Source organism: Homo sapiens, chromosome 6 (assembly GCF_000001405.40).
Source record: "Homo sapiens chromosome 6, GRCh38.p14 Primary Assembly".
NCBI lineage: Eukaryota > Metazoa > Chordata > Mammalia > Primates > Hominidae > Homo > Homo sapiens.
This window is the reverse complement of record NC_000006.12, coordinates 85,537,233-85,557,435: the sequence shown is the minus strand read 5'-3', so window position 1 is coordinate 85,557,435 and position 20,203 is coordinate 85,537,233. Positions and strand designations below refer to the sequence as shown.

At 36.4% G+C, this 20,203-nt stretch overlaps 1 protein-coding gene across 44 annotated transcripts in view, besides 3 other annotated features; it reads left to right on the top strand.

Moving 5' to 3' along the window:
- Positions 1–20,203, top strand: part of SNX14 (sorting nexin 14) — an 88,363-nt gene that overhangs the window by 36,423 nt on the left and 31,737 nt on the right. For 23 of the 44 annotated variants that reach the window (NR_146774.2, NR_146775.2, NR_146779.2 and 20 more), the window contains 9 exons: positions 7,557–7,713; positions 9,060–9,135; positions 9,886–9,930; positions 10,039–10,119; positions 10,210–10,324; positions 13,676–13,831; positions 14,130–14,254; positions 15,393–15,451; positions 18,572–18,598. Coding sequence is in view for 38 of the 44 variants with exons in the window: in NM_001350543.2 (NP_001337472.1) it covers positions 7,557–7,713; positions 9,060–9,135; positions 9,886–9,930; positions 10,039–10,119; positions 10,210–10,324; positions 13,676–13,831; positions 14,130–14,254; positions 15,393–15,451; positions 18,572–18,598 (841 nt within the window). In the remaining 6 variants the exon portion in view is untranslated. Of the gene's footprint in view, positions 1–7,556; positions 7,714–9,059; positions 9,136–9,885; positions 9,931–10,038; positions 10,120–10,209; positions 10,353–13,675; positions 13,832–14,129; positions 14,255–15,392; positions 15,452–18,571; positions 18,599–20,203 lie in introns of all 44 variants that reach the window. The other 21 variants (XM_047419128.1, XM_047419127.1, XM_047419123.1 and 18 more) reach the window with 5 other exon arrangements.
- Positions 3,264–3,763: an enhancer, noted in NCBI's record as "H3K4me1 hESC enhancer chr6:86263391-86263890 (GRCh37/hg19 assembly coordinates)". NCBI's record gives its function as "activates a minimal SCP1, AML or CMV promoter by ChIP-STARR-seq in primed H9 embryonic stem cells {active_cell/tissue: H9 hESC(primed)}" and the evidence as "EXISTENCE:reporter gene assay evidence [ECO:0000049][PMID:30033119]".
- Positions 3,764–4,265: an enhancer, noted in NCBI's record as "H3K4me1 hESC enhancer chr6:86262889-86263390 (GRCh37/hg19 assembly coordinates)". NCBI's record gives its function as "activates a minimal SCP1, AML or CMV promoter by ChIP-STARR-seq in primed H9 embryonic stem cells {active_cell/tissue: H9 hESC(primed)}" and the evidence as "EXISTENCE:reporter gene assay evidence [ECO:0000049][PMID:30033119]".
- Positions 5,831–6,125: an enhancer, noted in NCBI's record as "tiled region #13581; K562 Activating DNase matched - State 16:ElonW". NCBI's record gives its function as "activates a minimal TATA promoter and a strong SV40 promoter by Sharpr-MPRA in K562 cells {active_cell/tissue: K562}" and the evidence as "EXISTENCE:reporter gene assay evidence [ECO:0000049][PMID:27701403]".

The window sequence follows — 20,203 nt, the reverse complement described above, 5'->3', positions numbered from 1 at the left end:
TCATGATTTGCACATAGCATATGTTCATTAAATGTTTTCCCTTCTTTCCTTTCCTCCTTTCCTTCTTACCATATCCTGCAGGATCTTTTCTGAGTGAATGAGTGGAATCCTCATTTGAGACTTTTCATGCTCTAAGATCAAGCTCTAAAATGTTTCTTTTTAACAAAACTACTTCTATGCGCTGTACTTAGTTCATGAAACTGAGATTTTCCTTGTATTCGCATTTGGTATTCTTTTTTGTCAGTGGTTTCTGAAGTATGTTCTGCAGAGTACCACTCTACACACATGACCATATGACCAGAAGAGGTTTCACGGTCATATTTTTTGTTTATTGTATTCCCCTTGTAGAAATTCCCATAGGTAGGAGTACACCAAAAGCTTTGGGTAGTCCTACAGCAGTGAAATAGCTTTAACTTTAACCTATCATGTTCCAAATTCATTTGAGCATGGAACCATTTTTTCCCCCCACATAGTATCAATTATTTTAATCAAAAAGCATTTTGGGAAATTATGCTATAGGTAGATTTGAAGTTAAATGAAATTATTAGTTTATTTGCCCTTTGATATGAATAGTTCCTCAGATATGAGAATTATTTTAAATTATATATTTAAAAATTATTCTGTGTTCATCTTATAACAAGTAAAAATAATTTTACTTTCAACATAGTTTAAAAAAAGGTTGAGGGTGAGCATGGTGGCTCATGCCTGTAATCCCAGCACTTTGGGAGGCTGAGGTGGGCAGCTCACTTGAGGTCAGGAGTTCGAGACCAGCCTGGCCAACATGGTGAAACCCATGTCTACTAAAAATACAAAAATTAGCCAGGTGTGGTGGTGCTACTCAGGAGGCTGAGGCCGGAGAATGACTTGAACCCAGGAGGCGGAGGTTGTGGTGGGCAGAAATCATGCCACTGCACTCCAGCCTGGGTGATAGAGCAAGACTCCATCTCAAAAAAAAAAAAAAAAGATGAATGTGAAAGAGTTTGAGTACGCATAACTTTCTTTTTCTTTTTAAATTAAAAACAAATTTTTTTTCTTTCAGAGATGAGGTCTCACTGTGTTGCTCAGGCTGGTTTCAACATCTTGGGCACAAGCAATCTGCCTGCCTCGGCCTCCCAAAGTGCTGAGATTACAGGTGTGAGCCACTGTGCCTAGCCAAGTACACATAACTTAATTGTTGTGTTGTAAAGGCTACTTTACTGTCAGAAGAACGTATAGGAAAAGTATTTTTCTTTAAATCAGTAGATTTTATGTTTTAGAGCAATTTTGCATTCACAGAAGAATTATTGAGCAGAAAGTACAGTGAGTTCTCATGTACTCTCACCTTTTCCTAGTATTAACATCTTACATTACTTGATACATTTGTTATAATCAATGTACCAATATTGATACATCATTATTAACTAAAGTCTGTAGTTTAGATTTTTGGTGTTTTTTTTTTTTATTTTTTGAGACGCAGTTTCGCTCTAGTTGCCCAGTCTGGAGACCAATGGCACAATCTCAGCTCACTGCAACCTCCACTTCCCAGGTTCAAGTGAGTCTCCTGCCTCAGCCTCCCGAGTAGCTGGGATTACAGGCATGCACCACCACGCTTGGCTATTTTGTATTTTTAGTAGAGATGAGGTTTCACCATGTTGACCAGGCTGGTCTCGAATTCCTGACCTCAGCTGATCCACACGCCTTGGCCTCCCAAAATGCTGAGATTACAGGCATGAGCCACCGTGCCTGGCCTCGTTAGGTTTTACTCTTTACATTGTGCATTCTATGGATTTTGACAAATGTATAATCATGTATTCATCATTACAGTAGCATACTGAATAGTTTCACTGCCCTAAAAATCCCCTGTGCTTTCTCTGTTCATCCTTCTTTCCTCTGGGAATCCCTGGCAACCACTGATCTTTTTACTGTCTCTACAGTTTTGACGTTTCCAGAATGTTATATAGTTGGAATCATACAGTATGTTTCAGATGGATTTCTTTCACTTAGCAATATACATTTAACCTCTATCTTTTCATAGCTTGATAACCCATTTCTTTTTACTACTCAGTTATTTTCCATTGTACGGATATACCGCACTTTGTTTATCCATTCACCAATTGAAGGACATCTTGGTCCAATTTTTGGCAATTATAAATAATGCTGTTATAAGCATTTGTAGGTTTTTGTGCGGGGGAAGTATTTTTAATACAGTTTTAATTTTGTTCTAAAGACAAAGACAAGAAGCCTCTCAGACTATGAATAAATGGAATCATCTTTTAACTTTTAGTAGAATTGATGAGTTTAGTAAAATCCCCAAATTGCTTTGTCTCTATGAGAGTGACGTTGTATATATATCACATTGGTAATCCCAGCACTTCGGAAGGCTGAAGCTGGAGGATCACTTGAGCCTAGGAGTTTGACACAAGCCTGGGCAACATAGTGATACCCTGTCTCTACAAAAAAATAAAAAAATTAGCCGAGTGTGGTGGCATGTGCCTGTAAGTCCTAGCTACTTGGGAGGCTGAAGCAGGAGGATTTCTAGAGCCCAGGAGTTTGAGACTGCAGTGAGCTATGATCACCCAATTACACTCCAGCCTGGGCAACAGAGCAAGACCCTGTCTGAAAAAAAGAAGAAAGAAAAAAGGAGAATGATATATATATAAACAAATTTGATTAAAATTTATCATTGAATTTTTGTGAGAGGGGTTGCTTATTTGCTACTATTCATGTAAAAAATCATCCTCAATTATAAAGTCACCCTAAAATGCTAGATTGCATTCATTAATAACATTGTAATCATCATAATTAATGAAGTCCATAGAAGTAAAGGCTCAGAGAATTAGGAGGGCTCTTATTTTATCCCAAGATCCCAGTGTTCTAAATATCATGATAGTAAATTAGACTTATAAAAAAAGTTTTCAAATTTTTGATTTTTCATTTAATGTATAAATTTGTTTTCTAAGTTCTTTGGCTCTACATGTGAGCATAATTCAGGAAGTAAAGTTTCATTTCTTCATCCATAGTTGTCTTTACTGTCTTGGCATTCTCTGCTTAATCTTCTTGAGAATAGGCGTTATATAGAAGTTGTCTATGTAAGTACTTCCATGGCTCTTAGAAATGTTGAATATATATATGTGTGTGTATATATATACACATGTGTGTATATGAAATATATGAATATATGTGTATATTCAACATTTATATACATATGTATAGCTACATATATATATATATATAAACTTAAATTGGATAATGATTGTGTGGGATCTTACTCCAGACTTTCAACCTGAAGATATCTCTTTATCATGGATTTTGTGGACCTTTCCTTTTGTGTTCTGAAAACTGCCAACTGATTAGGCATTAAATATACTGGTGATCAGTGGAGATTAATCCATGCTCTGTATTCCAGCACTCTGTTTTGCTTATATTCCCCGTTAAGGTGTTTTCCCCCACTTTAAAATATTTTGCCTGCTTCCTTTAATTTCTTATCACCTTGGATTTTAAAAATCCCTTATGTCTGACAGGTGCTGAGTAGATTCCAATCTGGTGATTTAATTTATATATTATGTGTGAATGCTTAATCACACCAAATATTGTAATTACTTTTCTATATTACATTATGACTTTTCAGTGTTAATAACTGTTTACTGATACAGATTCTTTTTTTTTTTTTGGAGACGGAGTCTTGCTCTGTCGCCGAGGCTGGAGTGCAGTGGCGCGATTTCGGCTCACTGCAAGCTCCGCCTCCCGGGTTCACGCCATTCTCCTGCCTCAGCCTCCCGAGTAGCTGGGACTACAGGCGCCTGCCATCACGCCTGGCTAATTTTTTTTGTATTTTTAGTAGAGACGGGGTTTCACCGTGTTAGCCAGGATGGTCTCGATCTCCTGACCTCATGATCCGTCCGCCTCGGCCTCCTAAGGTGCTGGGATTACAGGCGTGAGCCACGGGCGCCTGGCCTGATACAGATTCTAAGGCTGAAAGGGATTGTTTCATTTGTTCAAAATCTTATCAATAAAGAAGCAGAGCTGGGACTTAGCACAGCTTACTGTGCTAAGATACTGTGCAGAGATTTCTGACTTTTATGCTCACGATAGAAATTTCTAAAAGACCCATGCCCCAAATTCTAATGGAGAAAAGCTTGGCAAATAATTTAAAATGCGTTTTTTATAAAAACTATGTTCTTTGCTAATCCCGCTTTAAACCCACAAATGCAGATAGCCTTGATTTACCTTCTTAGTACTGTTGCCAAACTGAACTCGGGTCTGCTTGCCCAGTGTGCAGAAAAAAAGCAAGCACTGACACTGGGATTTTCAGCAAGGGAACGTGAGGCATTTATTGCTAACAAGGAGAACAGGCAGCTAATGCTTACGACCTGAATTCCCCAGTGGCATACAAGCAAGGGTTTTTAGACTTGGGGTAAATTTCATGAAAGCAAAATTACATGTAAAATTGTAAGTCAGTACATGAAGGGTTATACATGGGTTGACTCAGAAAGCGGGGATATCTTGAAGTGAGTGAGGGCTTACAAGTGACAGGTGGATTCAAAGAGTCTTTGGTTTGCATTGGTTAAGAAAGCAAGGCTTTGTCTAAAAACCTGGGGTTAGCAGAAAGGAATGTTAAGGCTTGGCCTGTGGGTGTAACTCTCTCCAGGCCCCTCAGGAAGAAATTTAGAACAAAGAACGGTGGTTAGAGTTCAGTCCTCAATTCCTCCTTGAGGTCTACGTGACAGTGGTTGGCATTTTCTATCTAATGGGGGTCCAGGTTTCTGAAAAATAATTCAAAGATATATGTTATAATTTTATCTTTAGTTTCTGTAGGGAACCAAACATCTTGTGACTCTGGCTTACTTGGGGCAATTGTTTATGTTATTATTTTCTTGTTTAGCAGGTTATTCACTCACTTTCCTAATTGCTGGTTGTAGGGCTAGCTTAGGTGCCTGCAATTTCCCTTGGGACTCATAAGTTTTTTCTTTATTTTCATGCTGGGGGTCCTAGCAGGCCCCTAAGAGGGATTGCTGCTCCATCTCAGTACTCACACTGTTGCAATGCATATAATGCCTTTTTTTGTGTATGAATATGCTTGCATTCTATTTCAATAAAAACAGAAGGAAATAGTTCTAAAATAAATGCTATTGAATTAGGGTTAAGATTCCCCCAGCACTTTGGGAGGCCGAGGCGGGCGGATCACGAGGTCAGGAGATCGAGACCATCCCGGCTAAAACGGTGAAACCCCGTCTCTACTAAAAATACAAAAAATTAGCCGGGTGTAGTGGCGGGCGCCTGTAGTCCCAGCTACTTGGGAGGCTGAGGCAGGAGAATGGCGTGAACCCGGGAGGCGGAGCTTGCAGTGAGCCGAGATCCCGCCACTGCACTCCAGCCTGGGCGACAGAGCGAGACTCCGTCTCAAAAAAAAAAAAAAAAAAAAAAGATTCCCAACACAGACTCCATGATTTGAAAACTCTGCACAGAATGCAGAAAGGGAAAAGCATCACTTGCCTTTCCACTTAGTCTTTTGAGGTCTATAAAAAGGAGACAATACTATTAATTTTACATTTGAAAATACTAGTTATTGCCAGGTCTAAAAGAAAACTTTGCTAACATAACTTTTGTCATCAGTATTTATTAAGAAATCTATCCTTTCATGGGTTTCTACTTTAAATAGTTTTATATTTCCTATGTCCTCTGCATGGGGCAGAAGATCCAGAGCTTAACCAGTGAAGCCATATTCTATTGTGAACACAAGTTCTCTGAAAAGGAATTTGAGAGTAAAGAGACTTTGTTTCAGGGAACAGTTTGCAAACCAGGAAAACATAGCCTTCAGTGTGAAACAAGGCTGCATTCCAGAGAACAAAGAGAGAGTTCTGGTTTCATAGCAAAAGTTCCTTCCCAGGTTCTCAATCAGGCCTGTTTATGCAGATGAAGGATTAAAATCTGATTGGTCAGTGCAGCTGAGTTCTGATTGGTTGATACAGCTGAATGCTGATTGGCTGGGACAGGTGAGCTTATATTGGTTGGTTTAGGTGAGCCCTGATTGGTTGGTTTCCAGGCCCCAAACCAGGAATCTGACAGATGTTTCTTTAAATGGCTTCTAGTGGGAGGGAGTTTCCAGCCACAGTTCATCTTGGCTCCCAACAGCAGGAACTGGTTTTGCTTGATTGTAGAAAGGGAGGTCGTATGAAAAAGTTTCATAGCATCTTTCTGAGAACACAGAGTATATAACTGCTTCCTCACGAGCTATGGTGGCCTGGATCTATTTTAAATTTCAGTTTCTCAGCTAGGGGGAGTCCATTTTGTCTGAGGGCTGAGGGCATATTTTGATAGTGTACGTGCTTTAAAAGGTTACTTGGATGTGAAAGCAGATGCAATTAAAGAATTCTGAGGCCAGGCGCAGTGGCTCATGCCTGTAATCCCAGCACTTTGCGAGGCCGAAGTGGGTGGATCACATGAAGTCAGGAGTTCCAGACCAGCCTGGCCAACATGGTGAAACCCTGTCTCTACAAAAAATATAAAAATTAGCTGGAGGTGGTGGCCGGTGCCTGTAATCCCAGCTACTTGGGAGGCTGAGGCAGAATTGCTTGAACCTGGGAGGTGGAGGTAGCAGTGAACTGAGATCATGCCATTGCGTTCCAGCCTGGGGGATAAGAGAGAAACTCTGCCTCAAAAAAAAAAAAGAATTTTGAGGCCTATAATCCCAGCAATTTGGGAGGCCGGAGTGAGCAGATTGCTTCAGTTCAGAAGTTTGAGACCAGCCTGGGCAACATGACAAAACCCCATCTCCACAAAAAATACAAAAATTAGCCGGGCACAGGAGTACCCGCCTGTGGGCCCAGCTACTCTGGAGGCTCAAGTCGGAGGATCACTTGAGCCAAGGAGGTCGAGGCTACAGTGAGCTGAGATCACACCAGTGCATATCTCCAGCCTGGGTGACGGAGCGAGACCTTGTCTCAAAATAATAATGATAATAATAATAATTTTGAGTAAGATAGTTTTTGCTTTTGGAGAGGAGAAAGAAGATACAGGATTTGGCAACAAAAGCCTTATGTGTGCTAGAAGTTGTAAAAGTTGTTTTCTCTAATTTTTTCCACTTAATCATTTGCTATTATTTTATATAACTTGTAGAGGCGTAAGTTTAAATTCTTGTTTGCAAAGGGTCCATTTATCAATTTATTGCAAACTAAGCAGGCTTCTAATAAAGAATGCACATTGAAAAGAGGCTAGGAAAGGAATGACTTCGTTACATATTTTTTTGGGAAACATCTCCATTCACTGCAACCTTGCAACCTCCGCCTCCTGGGTTCAAGCAATTCTGCCTCAGCCTCTTGAGTAGCTGGGACTACAGTCGTGTGCCCCCATGCCTGGCTAATTTTATATTTTTTGTAGAGATGGGATTGTGCCATGTTGGCCAGGCTGGTCTTGAACTCCTGGCCTCAAGCGATTTGCCTGCCTCGGCCTCACAAAATGCTGGGATTACAGGCATGAGCCACCACGCCCAGCCCATGCTCTTCTATTTGTTAGTGGAAATGACCGAAATTATTTAATGTCACTTAACTTGTTTCAATATTTATCTTTAATCTCTATAGTAAAAAATACAGAGTTTTTACAGCAAGCTGCTTTAGAAGAATATGGTCCAGAGCTTCATGTTGCTTTGAGAAGTCGAAGAGATGAATTGCACTATTTAAGGAAACTTACTGAACTGCTTTTTCCTTATATTTTGCCTCCTAAAGCAACAGACTGCAGGTATAAAAAGACTAGACAATATAATAGTATTTGCATAACATGCCATATGTATATTGCTATTTTTGGTTATGATAGGCATATGCTAAAATTTGAGGTTAGCCTATGAATAGCTTTTCATTTGAAAAAATTTATTAAGTTATTAATATATAATTTATTAATTATGGTCTTAAAATGCCAATTTAAGTGCTATTTGTGGTGTGTTGTGTAGCTTAGAATTTTTCTTTAAAACTGATCTTGGACATAAAATATAAATATGAATAAAATTAATTTTTTATGCCATTATATTTTATTTCATTGGTGTTCCCCTTTAAAGACATGCACATTATAACTATAATAGGCAGAAACATTTGAACAAACTATATAGATGAGTTTATGTTTCAAGGTATCCAGCTGGGAAAAAGAATTGGAGGTCATCTAGTCTGTTCTCCCTTTTTCTGGCTGGAGCATGTTTAGATTATTCCATAAGTTACCTTGTTACTCTTACCCTAATAACCCTTAGAGGAGTAACCATGGCTTATTTTTAGTGATATTTAAAGTGATGTACTTTAAATACTACTTTTTGTTTAAAATTTTTATGTGGTTCTTAAAAATATTTTAATATTTTGATTACATGATTTTTATACTAGACTAGTTTATAATAGTAAATATGATTATAAGGTAATTACATTAAACATTAATTTAAATATATAATAAACATTTAAGTATTCTTAGATAGAAAGTATTTTCTTTCTTTCTTTTTTTTTTTTAATTATTTTTGAGACAGAGTCTTGCTCTGTTGCCCAGGCTAGAGTTCAGTGGTGTGATCTCGGCTCACTGCAACCTCTGCCTGCCGGATTCAAGCGATTCTCCTGCATCAGCCTCCCTATTAGCTGGGATTACAGGCATGCACCATCATGCCCAGCTAATTTTTGTATTTTTAGTAGAGACGGGGTTTCATCATGTTGGCCAGGCTGGTCTTGAACTCCTGACCTTGTGATCCCCCTGCCTCGGCCACCCAAAGTTCTGAGATTACAGGCGTGAGCCACCCCACCCGGCCGATAGAGAGTTTTTCCTAATGTCCCCCAAGTTCCTCCTGTTAAGGGAATACTTTTTCTTCTCTTAAGTAATATTCTATTTTAGCCAAGTAAGAACTCTAACTCTTTGCTATTCAACGTGTGTTCTGCAAACCAGTAGCATGAACATTGGTTGAGAGTTTGTTAGAAATGCAGACTTTTAGGGCCTAACCAAGACCTACTGAATTATAGTCTCCATTTTAACAAGATCCTTACGTAATTCACATGCACTTGAAAGTTAAGAACTAATATAAATCACTAAATATAAACAATTATTATTATTTCTTTTTCCAGATCTCTGACCTTACTTATAAGAGAGATTCTGTCTGGCTCTGTGTTCCTTCCTTCTTTGGATTTCCTAGCTGATCCAGTAAGACTTAAGATTTTTTTTTAAATTGTTACAAATTACACTTAATATAACATTTAGTATCTTAAACATTTTTATGTATATAGTCAGTGATACTGAAAACATTCATATTGTTGTGCAACCATCCCCATTCCCCATCTCCAGAACTCTTCATCTTATGAAATTGAAACTCTGCATCTGTTAACAATAACTCCTCATTCCTTCCTCCCTCCAGCCCCCCCTGGCAACCACCATTCTGCTTTCTGTCTCCATGAATTTGACTACTCTGGGTACCACATATAAGTGGAATCATAAGTATTAGTCTTTTTGTGACTGGCTTATTTCACTTAGCATAGTGTCTTCAAGGTTCATCCATGTTGTAGCATGTGTCAGAATTTCCTTCCTTTTCAAGGCTGAGTAATATTTCATTGTATGTGTATAACATGTTTTGCTTATCTGTTCATCCATTGATGGACACTTTGGATGCTTCTACCTTTGATCCAGTGAGATTTTGAAGAAACAAGAATGATTTAGAAATATTTTAAATGCCAAAATCAGAATAGCTTTTATTTGCCCATTTTCACAAAGGTTAAGAACCTGTTTTGTAGATGTAAAAAAACTCCTGCTGTAATACATATGTGCAGATTTTTTGCTACTGCTCCATTTATTTTTTCATTTTTCTAGAAACTTACATAATATGATACAAGTTATGAGAATTCTGGGGAGAATACAGTAGTGGAATTATTTTGACTTATGTTTATTATTTTCCACTAGGATACTGTGAATCATTTGCTTATCATCTTCATAGATGACAGTCCAGTGAGTATTGAATATATTAGAAAACACTTCAGATTGCATTGAATTTTGATTTTGTATGTCAAATCAAGTGGGAATTTTACTGAGTTAATAATTCTCTTTCTTTCAAAGCCTGAAAAAGCAACTGAACCGGCTTCTCCTTTGGTTCCATTCTTGCAGAAATTTGCAGAACCTAGAAATAAAAAGCCATCTGTAAGAATTTTCAGCAATAACACCTTTTTGATATAAACAATTTTAGAACTCATTTATATAGCTTAAACTTAATCTTTCTCTTATATCAAGGTGCTGAAGTTAGAATTGAAGCAAATCAGAGAGCAACAAGATCTTTTATTTCGTTTTATGAACTTTCTGAAACAAGAAGGCGCAGTGCACGTGTTGCAGTTTTGTTTGACTGTGGGTGAGGCTTACCTGTGTATTTTACGAAAGTAATTTTTAAACCTTTTAATGTATTTGAATATTTTAAATCAGATCTGATGTTGTGGTACCCATCTATCATTGTACTAAATTTCATATACTCGATTTCCTTTTTTTTTTTTTTTTTTTGTTTGAGGCGGAATTTCACTCTCGTTGCCCAGGCTGGAGTGCAATGGTGTGATCTTGGCTCACTGCAACCTCCGCCTCCTGGGTTCAAGCGATTCTCCTGCCTCAGTCTCCCAAGTAGCTGGGATTACAGGCATGTGCCAGCACCCCAGCTAATTTTGTATTTTTAGTAGAGATGGGGTTTCTCCATGTTGGTCAGGCTGGTCTTGAATTCCCGACCTCAGGTGATCCACCCACCTCGGCCTCCCAAAGTGCTGGGGTTACAGGCGTGAGCCACCGCGCCCGGCCATATACTTGATTTTCTAAGAGCATATGTGGGTTTCTCTCAAGTGCCCACTTCTTTCCAGATTGGGAAATAATCTGTCACTAACTTCATTCAAATCCTAGTAGCAGAAAAAAAAAATACTAAAAGTACAGTATAATGAAAATATATTAAAAACCCAAACTGTAGCCCATGTCAATATCACTTTTTCACAGTTTTTGTAAAGGATTGTTTTGACTAAATTATCAAATATAAGAATACCTCATTTTAATTATAAGCTCTGTAGCATTATAGATTATTGGATTTATAAGAAACTTTATAGACTGAAAATATTGTTTTTAATGCATTTAATTTCTTTTTAAAATATAACTTTAAAAATGAGGTATAATTTATATAGTGAAACACATGGAATTTAAATGTATAGTTTGATCAGTTTTGCATGTGTGTACATCCACGTAACCTGCATCTTTATCAAGATCTAGAACATTTATTTCCATCAGCCCAGAAAATTCCCTTAGGATCCTTCCCAAGAGATCCACTCTTTCCCCTACTCCTGCCAAAGCAATCACTGGTCTCATTTCTCTCAGCACAGATTAGTTTTGCCTGTATAATTTTTTTTATATAAATTGAATCACATAATATGTACTCCTTTGTGCCTAGCTTCCTTCACTCAGGATAATGCTTTTTAAAGTTCATGTATGTTTTTGTCTAAATAAGTAGTTTGGGCAAGGCGCAGTGGCTCATGCTTACAATCCCAGCACTTCGGGAGGCCGAGGCAGGTGGATCACTTGAAGTCAGGAGTTCGAGACCAACCTGGGCAACATAGTGAAACCCTGTCTCGACAAAAATACAAAAATTAGCTGGGCGTGTTGGCTCATGCCTGTAATCGCAGCTACTCAGGAGGCTGAGGCAGGAGAATTGTTTGAACTTGAGAGGTGGAGGTTGCAGTGAGCCGAGATCATGCCACTGCACTCCAGCCTGGGTGACAGAGTGAGACTCTGTCTCAAAAATAAATAAATAAATATGTAGTTTGTTCTTTGCTGAGTGGTATTCCATTGTATGAATGCATATATCTTTTAAACTTCATTATTAGGTGCAGACACATTTAAGATTGTTATATCTTCTTAATGAATTTATTCTTTTATCATTATAAAATGCTCCTCTTTTATCTTTGGTAATTTTTAGTCTTGAAGTCTGCTTTGTCTGATGTTAATATAGCCACATCATCTTTCTTTATATTTGAGTGTTCATTTGTATATCTTTTTCTATCTGATTGAAATGTTTAATGTATTTCTAGTAAGCAGCACATAGTTTCTCTCACTTTAAAAAAACCTAATTTAGTAATCTTTGCTTTTTAATTGGTATCTGTAGTACATTTACACGTGATATATTTATTATGTGTTTATTGTTAGGCCTTACATCTTGGTGTTTGTTTTATATTTGTCCTGTATATTCTTTGCCTTTCTTTTTCTCCTTTGCTGCCTTTCTTGAGGTTATTTTTTAGTATTTTATCTTTCCTATTTTTTTGAGTGTGTTCTGTTACTTTTTTGATTGATCAGAGATTTTCTTTTTCATTTATCATAGTCCTAATTTAAAAACATTTTACTGCTTCAGGAGCAGTGTAAGAACCTCAGTGTACCTCAGAGCATCCTCTCCTGCCTATTGTGCTCCTGTTGTCATGTATTTTAATTCTGCATAGGCTATAAAACCACAGTACATTATTTCTTCACTAGTCATCAGGCTTCTACACATGTGTGGAATGCACACACACATTCATTTTTAAAGGTTCTTACAATTATTGGCATATTTACTGTCCCGGTGCTCTTCATTTCTTTCTGCAGAACCAGGTTTCTAATATTGTTTCTTTCTGCTGAAAGAAATCATTTTCACAGTTCTTAAAATACAAATATGCTGGAGATAAATTTTCTTAGCTTTTGTGTGTCTGAAAAGATGGCATGATCATGGCTCACGAAATACAGCCTCAACTTCCTGAGCTCATTCATCCTCTTGCCTCAGCCTCCGAAGTAGCTGGGACTACAGGTGAACACCACCATGCCTGGCTAATTTCTTTGTAGAGACTGAGTCTCACTATGTTCCCTAGGCTGGTCTTGAACTCCTGGGCTCAAGCGATCCTCCTGCCTCAGCCTCCCAAAGTGCTGGGATTACAGGCATGAGCCACCACACCTGACCTTTAATCAATTTTGAAAATTCCTGGCTGTCTTTTCAAATATCCTGCCCCATTTTCTCTTCTTTAACAACTCCAGTTATATGCATGTTAACTCATACAGGAATGGCAATTATATTCTGTTGCCTCACAAATCTTATATCCTGTATTCCAGCTTTTTTTTTTTAACTCCCTTTTTTCCCCTTTATGTTTCAGTTTGAATGATTAAGAAGTAAAAGGTAAACTCCTTATTAACACATCCTGAAATAAAAAGAAAAAGCAATTGGTATTTTGGCTATCATAATACTACCATCTTTTATTTTGGAATAAACATTCATTTGTTCAAACTCAGTTCTGCCACTAGTTTGCAGCGTTCATGATAGAAATATTGTTTAAAAACATTGATTGGGACTAAAAAAAGTCTTCATTTTTATTTTTATTTAGTAAATCAGATCTCAAAATAATAAAAGACTTTTGGTATAATAAATTCAATATTCTTTAAGGAAACTATTAGAAGTGTGTTTAGTGTTTTGAATTTTAGCAAAATTTGTATTGGTATTTATGTATTTACATATTTTCTATTAATGTATAAAAACTGGTTGATTGCATTTCTCTTTTATTGAGTAGTTATTTTATTCTCAAATATTTTTTAAAAACTTAGATGAATTAGATTGCTTCTAATTGCTGCTGTTAGTATTGGCTACAATTAGAATGGGACTGAAGCTTTTATGAATAATTATATATTAAAATTATTTTTTCTTATTCATTCCCTCATTTGTTAGAGGAATTTAATGATAGAATTTTACGACCAGAATTATCAAATGATGAAATGCTGTCTCTTCATGAAGAATTGCAGAAGATTTATAAAACATACTGTTTGGATGAAAGTATTGACAAAATTAGATTTGATCCCTTCATTGTAGAAGAGATTCAAAGAAGTAAGTCAAAGACGATAAGAATGACTTATTTAGCACTCTTACAGTTTTTCCATTTATTTTCTGTTTATTATTGCAGTGGCTAGCTGCAGTACATGGGCAGCTATTATTCTATTTTACTAATGAGATGAAAGCTTTAAAGAAAAAACTTATTTATACTTTATGTATTTGTCAGAACTAGAGCTTGGTTGGTCTAATTTCTCAATCTAGTGTGTTTCAGTGGAGTTTCAGTAAAACGTTTTAGAACTGTATATATTTATGCTATTTATAAATAATTTCTACAGTAGAATTTTTTTAATAGTTGCTGAAGGCCCATACATAGATGTTGTGAAACTTCAAACTATGAGATGTCTTTTTGAAGCATATGAACATGTTCTTTCCCTTTTGGAGAATGTATTTACTCCTATGTTCTGCCATAGTGATGAGGTAAGTCAAAATATTAACCTTGTTTGAGGATTTTTATACATAATTTAATAGTAGCTTTGATATCATTAGATGAGTGATTCAAATAACAAAATAAATAGAAAAATAAGACAAGATTACTGGGCACAGTTGCTCACGCCTATAATCCCAGCACTTTGGAAGGCTGAGATGGCTGAATCAATTGAGTTCAGGCATTCAAGACCAACCTGGCCAACATGGTGAAACTCCATCTCTACTAAAAATAGAAAAAATTAGCTGGGTGTGGTGGCACATGCCTGTAATCTCAGTTACTCAGGAGGCTGAGGCAGGAGAATAGCTTGAACCCAGAAGGCCAAGGTTGCAGTAAGCTGAGATCACACCACTACAACTCAAGCCTGGGCCATAGAGCAAGACTCCGTCTCAGTAGAAAACAGAACAAAAAAACCAAGATTAAGAAAGTAAATATTCTTTTTCGCTATGTAATTAAGTGAAGATTAAAAAATAATTGCAAAGGCCGGGTGTGGTGGCTCAGGCCTATAATCCCAGCACTTTGGGAGGCCGAGGCGGGCGGATCACAAGGTCAGGAGATCAAGACTGTCCCGGCTAACACATTGAAACCCCTTCTCTACTAAAAATACAAAAAACTAGCTGGGCGTGGTGGCGGGCACCTGTAGTCCCAGCTACTTGGGAGGCTGAGGCAGGAGAATGGCATCAACCCGGGAGGCGGAGCTTGCAGTGAGCCGAGATCGCACCACTGCACTCCAGCCTGGGCAACAAAGCGAGACTCTGTCTCAAAATAAATAAATAAATGAATAAATAAAATAATAATTGCAAAAACAATTATCAATACCAAAACCTGTTTATATTTGTGTAAGTAGATAGATTGGGACCAAATAGGTCTGCCTGGTTTGCCATATGCCTGAGTGGCTTTGTAGTACTGCAGTGACGCAGAAATCTCATTGTATACACGTTATTTACAAACCTGTGGAAATCATCTGCATTTGCAATATTTTCATCCTTACCCTAGTTGACCATGTCTGTATTCACTTGATTGAGATAGCTTTTTTTTTTTCCCAAAACTGGAAAGTAGTAAACTAAGGTAACATGTTTTAATGTTAATTGTAAGTGTAATAAATGATAATTATTATTTGTTATTTTAAAGTATTTCAGACAACTTTTAAGAGGTGCAGAATCACCAACACGCAATTCAAAATTGAACAGGTAGGTTGTATGTTTTGTTTTTGAACTTGCTGATGCCAGTCATTCTATGATAGCATCATTGTCTTTATTAGCTATTTTTCTGAATGAATATGTGGTTCCATTGTTATATGAGTTCACAAGGCATTTTACTAGTGAATTGTAGAACTGTATTCTATATGGTGATCTGAAAATGCCTGAAATTCTTTTAGAAAAATTTTAACAAGATACATAATGTGGCCTTGTTAATCTCATAATGAATATATATTAGTTTTGATTACCAGCTTTATTGGAGACTAGGGACTGAATGCATAAGTGGCATCCACAGATAACTCAGAATTAAACGTTTTAGAGAAAACTTTTTTTTAAGAGTGCTTACTGGGTACAAAAGTGGAGGGATGTTTATTTCTTTCTTTTTTTTGGCTCTGGAAATCTAAGTGTACAGTTAAATGACCTAAAGAAAGGTAATAGAAGAGAAAATCTTTATCCATTTATAAACTGGATAATTAGTGTTCTAATTTGTGTTTGCAAGGTTACATGTACAAAATTGATACAGACATCAAATCTATAAATCTATTCTGTAGATTTATAGATTTGCTCTCAACACCTTCCAATAATAAAATGTAGACATAAAATATATGAATAAATATATGTTTTAAGTCACTTAATAGCAAATCAACAAAGCTATTCTGAATTTCCAATGAAAGAATGTTAATGGCCGGGCACGGTGGCTCACGCCTGTAATCCCAGCACTTTGTGAGGCCGAGACGTGGGGATCACTTGAGGTCAGGAGTTTGAGACCAGTCTGGCCAACGTGGTGAAACCCCATCTCTAATAAAAATACAAAAATTAGCTGGGCGTGGTGGCACATGCCTGTAATTCCAGCTACTTGGGAGGCGAAGCAGAAGAATTGTTCGAGCCCAGGAGGTGGAGGTTGCAATGAGCCAAGATCGTGCTACTGCACTCCAGCCTGGGTGACAGAGCCAGACTGTTTCAAAAAAAAAAAAAAAAAGTTAAGAAACTCTTTTAACTTATTATATATAAGGTAAATGAATCATTTCATTTACCTTTCATTTTCATTTCTGATCATTTCATTTACCTAATATGTGTACAAAATTGACACAAACATCTAGACACCTTCCAATTTGAGCAAGTATCTAATAAACATAAATAAATTGGATATGTACTACAAAGAGAAAAGTAGATAAGTCAAGAAATGGGGCAATGTTTTAGATAGTTAGTACAAGGGAAAATGTGAAAACCTTAGCCACGAGGAGAATATATTGTATTTCTTGACGTAACCAAGTGTTATGGGAATAGATGTTTTTTTGAATGTTGAATATTAATTCTGATTTAATGCCTCAGTAGAAGTAGTATACATGTAATAACTTTTCTGAAAGGTAGAAATGCCTTTAGGATTATTTGCAAAAATACCACTTTGTAACTTTTTCCTAAAAATTTATGTTACAGCCGTGAAACTTAGACGTTATTTAACAAAAATCATATTCATGCTATTTAAAATAGCGTTCTTTGCCCAGGCCACATGCCTTTTCTTGCATTTGAATTCTTTTCCAAGGAGTTTCCTCAAATGTACTGGCATACTTGAGAAGCAGGTAGAATTTATCCCTGTTTATAGACATAAGATGTTTGGAGTTTCATACCAGGACGTGGAGCTAATGACATGCCCTTTTCTAGGACCATTTAAGGGGAAGTGGTTCTGTGACCTTAAAAGCCTGCTTTGGTAGATGGCCGGGCGTGATGGCTCACGCCTGTAATCCCAACAATTTGGGAGGCCGAGGCAGGCAGATCACCTCAGGTCAGGAGTTCAACACCAGCCTGGCCAACATGGTGAAACCCTGTCTCTGCTAAAAATACAAAAATTAGTCAAGTGCGATGGAACACACCTGTGATCCCAGCTACTTGGGAGACTGAGGCAGGAGAATCACTTAAACCCAGGAGGCAGAGGTTACAGTGAGCTGAGACTGCACCACTGCACTCCAGCCTGGGCAACTAAGACTCCGCCTCAATTAAAATAAAATAAAATAAAATAAAATAAAATAAAATAAAATAAAAAGCTTGCTTCGTGGTTAAATCTAAGTCAAGGTCATAACTTCAGAGATGAAAAGCCTTCTTGGCTACTTTTAGAACACTTGATTATTTTCAGCATATTAAGGTACTAATTTTGTTGGCTTTAAAATATAAAAAAGACAGGTTATATGGGTTCTTTTCATTCTGGATACTGATTATGACTTTTTAAAGTATGTTTTTCTTTATGGTGATCTGATTTTAATAGTTAACTATCAGTCTTGTCAGGACTCTGCTTCTGTGATACTTAATGATTTATTTACCTATATATAATAAGTTAAAAGAGTTTCTTAACATTCTTTCATTGGAAATTTAGAATAGCTTTGTTAATTTGCTATTACATGACTTAAATTACATAAAATATGTATTCATATATTTTATGTCTACATTTTATATTTTCAAAGTAAAATTCTAATGCATATTATTTATCATGTTCTCTGTTTCATTGTATACTTAAAGTACAACTTTTGTTTTTTAATATTTAGAGATCTTTTGTTAACTGTGCTTCTTAGCTTAAAACATATTTTTTTACTCAACCTAAAAACGTGAAGCATAAATGATTCTGTCTAACATGAACACAAGTTTAATGTTGGAAAATATGGGTTTGTTTTTTGTGCCATGCCAGGTTTTTGGTGGCTCAGTCTCTGCATACTTTCCACTGCATGAAAGAAATGGTATGCCTAAGGACAAAGAAAAGACAGAATTATTTCTGGATATTTAATTTCTAAGAACCTTTTTTAATTATGTAGAAAAAAGTCAGTTATTTCCTGATATATTTAATTTTTTTCCATGTCACCCAAGAGAAAACATATTTAATTTTTAAGAACCGTTTTTAGTAATGTAGACTTCATCCAAACACAAAAGACAGCTATGTGCGTTTATCTTACCTTTATCACCTTATTCATGAAGATTTCTTCCCTTTGCAAAAATGAATGTTATACACCTGTGTAACTTCTGAAGCTTTTAAATTTTGTTTTGTGTTCTAAAATGAAGTTTATATAATATCTGGGCTTTCTTTCTTTCCTCTCCTTATATTATTTCACATACCTGTTATTGCAGAGGTAGCCTAAGTTTGGATGATTTTCGGTAAGTCTTGAGCATGTGATTCTTTTCAGTATTAAATGTTTTTAGAAAGTACATTGTGAACAACCTAATACAAATAAAAAGGAAAAAAATGGAACACTGTGGTATTAACTGCCATTATATCCTAGTTATTTAGGATAATCTTTTAAAATGAATACCTACTTTTATTCTACATACCTCCTTTTTGAAATAGCATGATATGCCATCATAAAATAAAAATGTCCTGATACTTTAAAGATATTTTCATTGTTTAATTTGTCAGTATCTTGTATTTTAAGGCTGTTGACTCATTTTTGTTCTTGTTGATTTTGCTAAATTAATTTTAGAACTATGTTTAAAGAACTTTTTTTAAAATAAGTATGATGTTTCTGTATTTCTGGGCATAATAATCATAAGTGAGAGTTTTTAGATTTCAACAACCCCCATTGTTTTATAGTATCCATGTTGTAGAGACTGGAATAAACTATCTAGAGTCTAGAGATTTTAAAAATATTTTGTTAACATTTTTATGTCTTGGGAAATGTTTTTTAAATCAAGGACAATTGTGTCTACAATTCTGGATTAAAAAAAACCCTAATTGTATGTTTGTTTAGATAAAATAATCTAGTTTAAGTACCCCTTTTACTGCTTACTACTTATTATTAGTGTTTTTCCAGAAGTTTGATTTACTTCTTGGATGTGTGTAAAATACACATTACTACATATTGGTGTATTTGAAACTTGATTAATTTTCTTTCTGTAATTGTATTATTTCAGTAGATAACTTAATTTTTCTCATAGGAGTAATAGCTATACACTTAAGCATTCAAAACAAACTTTCTCAGGTTTTAAAGTAGTTATTTTTATTTGGATATCGGTTGTAAGAGCAGTATTACATAGTGAACGTGACTTTATTTTATTTTATATATATTTTCTTGATGGAGCCTCACTCTGTTGCCCAGGCTGGAGTGCAGTGGTGCAATCTTGCGGGTCCAAGTGATTCTTCTGTGTCAGCCTTCCTAGTAGCTGGGATTACAGGTGCCTGCCACCTCGCCCGGCTAATTTTTGTATTTTTAGTACAGACGCAGTTTCGCCATGTTGGCCAGGCTGGTCTCGAACTCTTGACCTCAGGTCATCTGCCTGCCTTGGCCTTCCAAAGTGCTGGGATTACAAGTGTGAGCCACTGTGCCTGGCCTTGAGCATGACTTTTAAATTGGATAAAAGTTACGGTTTTAATTGCTGAAACATTGGGTAGCAGGCTAACGGACATTTTTGCTACTTTTGGCTTATTTGTCTTGTTGCTTTTCAGCTATTTCTGCTTTCAGAAATTCAGCTTAAAAAAATGGCAAAACCAACATTTAATATTTATGGCAGAGCAGACTGCTTCCTTGGGCTACATTTGCTTTTATCCCTGTGCTCATTGCTAACCTTTCCCTTTGGCACTATTCTTTTTCTTAAAGTTCCATCTGAAAATGAAGTACTGAGAAAGTAATAGTTTAATGTTTTTTTTTTCTGTCGCATAATTTTAGTCCAGTTACTCTAAAGGGATGTTTTTGGTTTTGAACAGATCTTAAGCATTTTTTAATCTATTTTGAAATATTGCAATAAGAACTATATTCCACTAGGGGG